This window comes from Homo sapiens, chromosome 10 (genome assembly GCF_000001405.40).
Source record: "Homo sapiens chromosome 10, GRCh38.p14 Primary Assembly".
Lineage (NCBI taxonomy): Eukaryota > Metazoa > Chordata > Mammalia > Primates > Hominidae > Homo > Homo sapiens.
In genome coordinates, this window is record NC_000010.11 from 30,281,313 (window position 1) to 30,286,291 (window position 4,979).

The 4,979-nt window shown below is 42.8% G+C and overlaps 1 annotated feature.

Moving 5' to 3' along the window:
* Positions 3,821 to 3,900: an enhancer, noted in NCBI's record as "active region_3203". NCBI's record gives its function as "activates an Ori minimal core promoter by ATAC-STARR-seq in GM12878 lymphoblastoid cells {active_cell/tissue: GM12878}" and the evidence as "EXISTENCE:reporter gene assay evidence [ECO:0000049][PMID:35858748]".

Genomic DNA, 4,979 nt, shown 5'->3' on the forward strand with positions numbered 1-4,979 from the left:
TCTGCTATCTGTTATGCAATGCTATACCAGAGTCAGGTTGGAATTTGTTATCTTATTGCCACAAAGAGTCTGTTTTTTTCAGTCTTATGGTCTGTATTTTAATGTTAGTGCTGGTCAGTTGTGCCTAAACTCCAAAAGGGAGGGAATATAATGAGGTATGTCCAACCTCCCTTCCTGTCATGGCTGGGAATTCAGTTTTTCAGATTTTTCTGGGGTCCTCTTGGCCAAGAAGGGATCTATTTAGTCGGCTGGGGGGCTTAGAAATTTATTTTTGGTTTACAAACATATTAAAGTGGCCATCAGAGAAATTGTCGGTATCCTGATAGCTGTTTTCTTATAATGTTTACAGTATCACTTGGTGGTTAATTTACTTAAAGTAATTAGAACTCTCTCAGGTAAAAGTGAAAGAAATTTTTTTTTTTAATAAAAACACTTTAAAAAGGAATTGATTAGGCCGGGCACAGTGGCTCACACCTGTAATCTCAGCACTTTAGGAGGCCGAGGCGGGTGCATCACAAGGTCAAGAGATGGAAACCATCCTGGCCAAAATGGTGAAACCCTGTGTCTACTAAAAATACAAAAATTAGCTGGGCGTGGTGGCGCACACCTGTAGTCGCAACTACTTGGAAGGCTGAGGCAGGAGAATCACTTGAACCTGGGAGGTGGAGGTTGCAGTGAGCCGAGATTGCACCACTGCACTCCAGCCTGGGCAACAGAGCCAGACTCCATCTCAAAAAAAAAAAAAAAAGTAATTGATTAAATATATACTGTGGACTTTTACAAAACAGCTTAGCTTCTGGGAGGTCTGGGGTATAGCTGGGCCTTGGGAACACCTGGAACCAAGCTTTGAGTGCCCTCAAGAGTCTCATGGTTTATCCATTTTTCTGCCTGCCCTGGCTTCCTTCTCTTTGAAATCAGAGGAATTTTTCTCCAAAAGTCTGCTAGTAGACCTGAGTTTGAATTATAAGAGTTTCCTGATTCCAGTTCTAAAATTCTAGGAAAAGGACACTGATTGACTTAGCATGGGCCATGTGCCTGCTTATAGACCAATTAAGTAATACGAGGAAATGAATATGACAGTAACAATATCTTGGCTCCGGTGACCACCCTTGGTGGTCAGTCAGTTGTATCCAGGAAGTGGAGTCATAGCAGCTTCCATCATAACCATGTGTGAAATTGGCCAAGTTACTTCATTTTTCTGTGCCTTTCTCCTTTACTTCATCTGTAAAATGAGATTAAATTGTTCCCCTCTCATAGAGTTATTTGAGGATTTTATGAGAAAATGCAACATTCTTTGTATAGTGGAAAACTGGAAACAATATGATATAAACATTCATTACTGTATTAGGCTGTTTGTGCATTGCTATAAAGAAATACTTAACCTGACCAACATGGCAAAACCCCATCTCTACTAAAAATACAAAAATTAGCCGGGCGTGGTAGTGCACATCTGTAATCCCAGCTACTCAGCAGGCTGAGGTGGGAGAAATCACTTGAACCCAGGAGGTGGAGGCTGCAGTGAGCTGAGATCGCGCCACTGCACTCCAGCCTGAGCAATAGACCAAGACCCTGTCTCAAAAAAAAAAAAAAAAAAGAAAGAAAGAAAAGGAAAAAAGAAAAGAAAAGAAAAAGAAAAAAAAGAGAAATACCTGACACTGGATAATTTATCAAGAAAAGAGGTTTAATTAGCTCATGGTTCTGCAGGCTGTACAGGAAGCATAACACAGGCATGTGCTTCTGGGAAGGCCTCAGGAAGCTTACAATCATGGTAGAAAGTGAAGGGGGAGCAGGTATCTCACATGGTGGGAACAGGAGAGAGAGCGAGAGAGTGAGAGTGAGGTGCCATGCTTTTAAACAGCCAGATCTTGCAAGAAGTCACTCACTATTGCAAGGACAGCACCAAGAGGATGGTGGGATGACGCTAAGTCATTTATGAGAAAGCCACCCCTATGATCCAATCATCTCCCACCAGGCCCCAAATCCAATACTGGGGATTACAATTCAACATGAGATTTGGGCGGAGACACACATCCAAACCATAACAATCACCAAGGGACAAGTTAAAGAAGTTTGTGGGCTCAAGCAGTTGACTTCTATGCAGCCATTAAAATATATGTCCCCAACAGAAGGCAGGCTTCCACGTATAACACATGTGACCATTTTCCCCAGGCCCTCTAGTTTGCAAAGGTGAGGGCAGAGCTCAACCTGTAGTGTAGAGCCTGAGACAGAGGGACCATGCTCCCTGTGTCCTAATGGGAAAGGGCTCTTCTTGAGTAGAAAGGTGATTACCAAGTTTTGCTTTCTCCTATAGATGAAACATGAGCAAAAACAGGGAAATGGAGACCTGGAAAAGAGAGGGCACAGAAACGGCCAGGTGGGTACACCTGTGATGCTGGTGGTGGGATTCGTTGGTGAACTACAGCCTGTAGGCCAAATCCAGCCCACTACCTGATTTTGCATGGCCCAGGAGTGAAGGATGGTTTGTTTGTTTTTTTGTTTGTTTGTTTTACATTAAAATGATTGAGAAATAAATTTTTTAAAAGAATATTTCATGACTTGTGAATAGTATATAAAATTCACATGTCATAAATAAAGCTTTATTGGAACATGCCAGACCCATGCACTTACATATTGTCTAGGGCTTCTTTCCCCCATGTAAAGTTGAGTAGTTTTACAGAGATCATATGGGTTCCAAAGCCTAAAATATTTACTATGTGACCCTTTACTGAAAAAGTTTGCTGACCCCTGCCTTGTAGTATGACACATGGATTTTTGGAAGAGTAAAACAAATTTAACATTTGCTGAGCACTCCTTCTTACCCAGCATGGCTATAGACTCTTCTCATGTATTTAATATAATTTTGTGAACAACCCTATAAGGCAGGTACTATTATTATCTTCATTTCACACATAAGAAAGTTAAGACACCTCGGTAATTTTCTCAAAGTCAGGTCATTAGTGAGTAGAAAAACTGGGATACGAACCCAGGCTGTCCAATTCCAGAGCAATAATCTAGTTAGATTTTCTGGCTTGTTATGGGATGGAATTCCTGCTAGCTGTCCCTCAAAAATGTCAGTATCGCTATGCAAACCATCATTTACTTGATTAGTCTTGCTGTGGAGAAAGGGATTGGGCTGTGCCTACACTTGGGGCACAACGGGAGAGGACACAACAGGAGGGGACAGTAGCCTTGAGAAGTGGCACCAGTTCACTCCTGGGCTTTACATTTGATGGCGTCATAGAATGGAGGAAATCATTGTGTGTGTGTGTGTGTGTGTGTGTGTGTGTGTGTGTGTGTGTGTGTGTGGTGTATACATAGCAAATGTCTCGAAGGTCCCATCCCAAACTGCATATAGCATTTGCCCTTCAGGAGTGAAATGGATAATGTAAAATTGGGAGCTGTCTACATTTTAATCCTACGTTGTTTGAAATTTTAAGTGAGGTTGTAGTCTTTGTATTGCTATTTTCAGAAACTCATATAAACATGGTGAAAAGAACTCTCTGGCCTGATTTTCCCTTTTGTGAGGTAAATTGACTTAACTCTTCTTTAAGTTTCCTAGGTTTTGAGAAGAGATAGATTATTTAATAATCTATTTCCCCAGGATGGCACCTAGAGGAAAAGATTATCCAGCCACCAAGAAATGCCCAGCTCCTCTATTTATGATGAACCTGACTTAATCAGGAGTAGAAGGCACATTTCTTCTTTTCAGAGTTACACAAGGGCCCTGGGTTTCCTGTTGACATGAAGATATTCACACCCTTCAGAGGATGGAACCCTTCACAAACAGCTTATCATCTGTTCCACTTTCTGCTCTTAGAGATGAAATAGGAAGTTTCTTCTTTGTTCAAAGATTAAGGAAACCACTGTTTCCCTGTTGAGATGGGGAAAGACGTACCATCCTGGGATCTTCATGTCTCAGAAGGATTATATACATTTTCCCTTGTCTTCCCTGCAAAGGAATGAGAGAAAGAACAGTCCCAGGGTTTGGCCACTGAAGGCTGGAAAGGGATGGCAGGGCCCTCCCACACTTAGTCATTACTCATGCATGAGGGCAGCTCCCAGCCCTCAGCTCTGGAGGGGTGGTGAGGGCTGGTTTTCCTGGGCTCTGCTAGGTATCTGCTTGGTATCTTGGGGAACTATCTCAAATTGAGTGAAAGAGCAGTGAGTGTTGCTTCCATTTTCGGTACACCACTGAAAATGAAGTACTTGTACAAGCTGGACATTTGAGTTTCACTTCTCTTGTAATGTTGAATACAGACTCCTAATTTAAAGACATGTATCTAAGGGACAAATAATTGCACTGATCCAAGAAGGGCTGGGCTCCTGGCTAAACTCTATCCTGAAGCCTGGAACCTTGGCCCTAAGTGAAAACAGCCAACCCCATTTTTCCACCCAAATGATTTCCTTTTTGGCCCACCCCGCCCCCTATCCTGTGCCCACAAAAAACCAGACTTCAGCTGGTAGAGGGAAAAAAAACACACACATACAAAAGCTGCTGACTGTCGGGGATACAAGCAGCTGAGTGGTGAGCAGAGAAGCAGCAACTGCGTACTGTAGAATATGGATAAACGCAGCTAACTTCAGACGGTGCGGCTTCAGAGGGGAGCCTGGCTGGAGACAGGCTGGGCTTCAGGGAAAGATCACCTTCTTCCCACTCGATCCCCTTTCCAGCTCCCCTTCCACCGAGAGCCACTTGCACTGCTCAATAGTCTTCTGCACCAATCATCTTTCAAACAGTTCATGTGACCTGATTCTCCCAGAATATTGAACAACAACTCGGGTGTCAAAAAGAGCAGGTGCAGAAGGCTGTCACCCTAACCTTTTACTGAGCTGTTAACACTTAGCCATCCACAGACTGCAGGCTGCAGGCTGAGTGAAATGAGTCACTCCAGTTCCACGAAGGGGGTCAAAGTCAAGGAAAAATCTCATCTTAACACAACCCATAATGTAATAGTGTGCAATATCTTTTCTAGTAATCA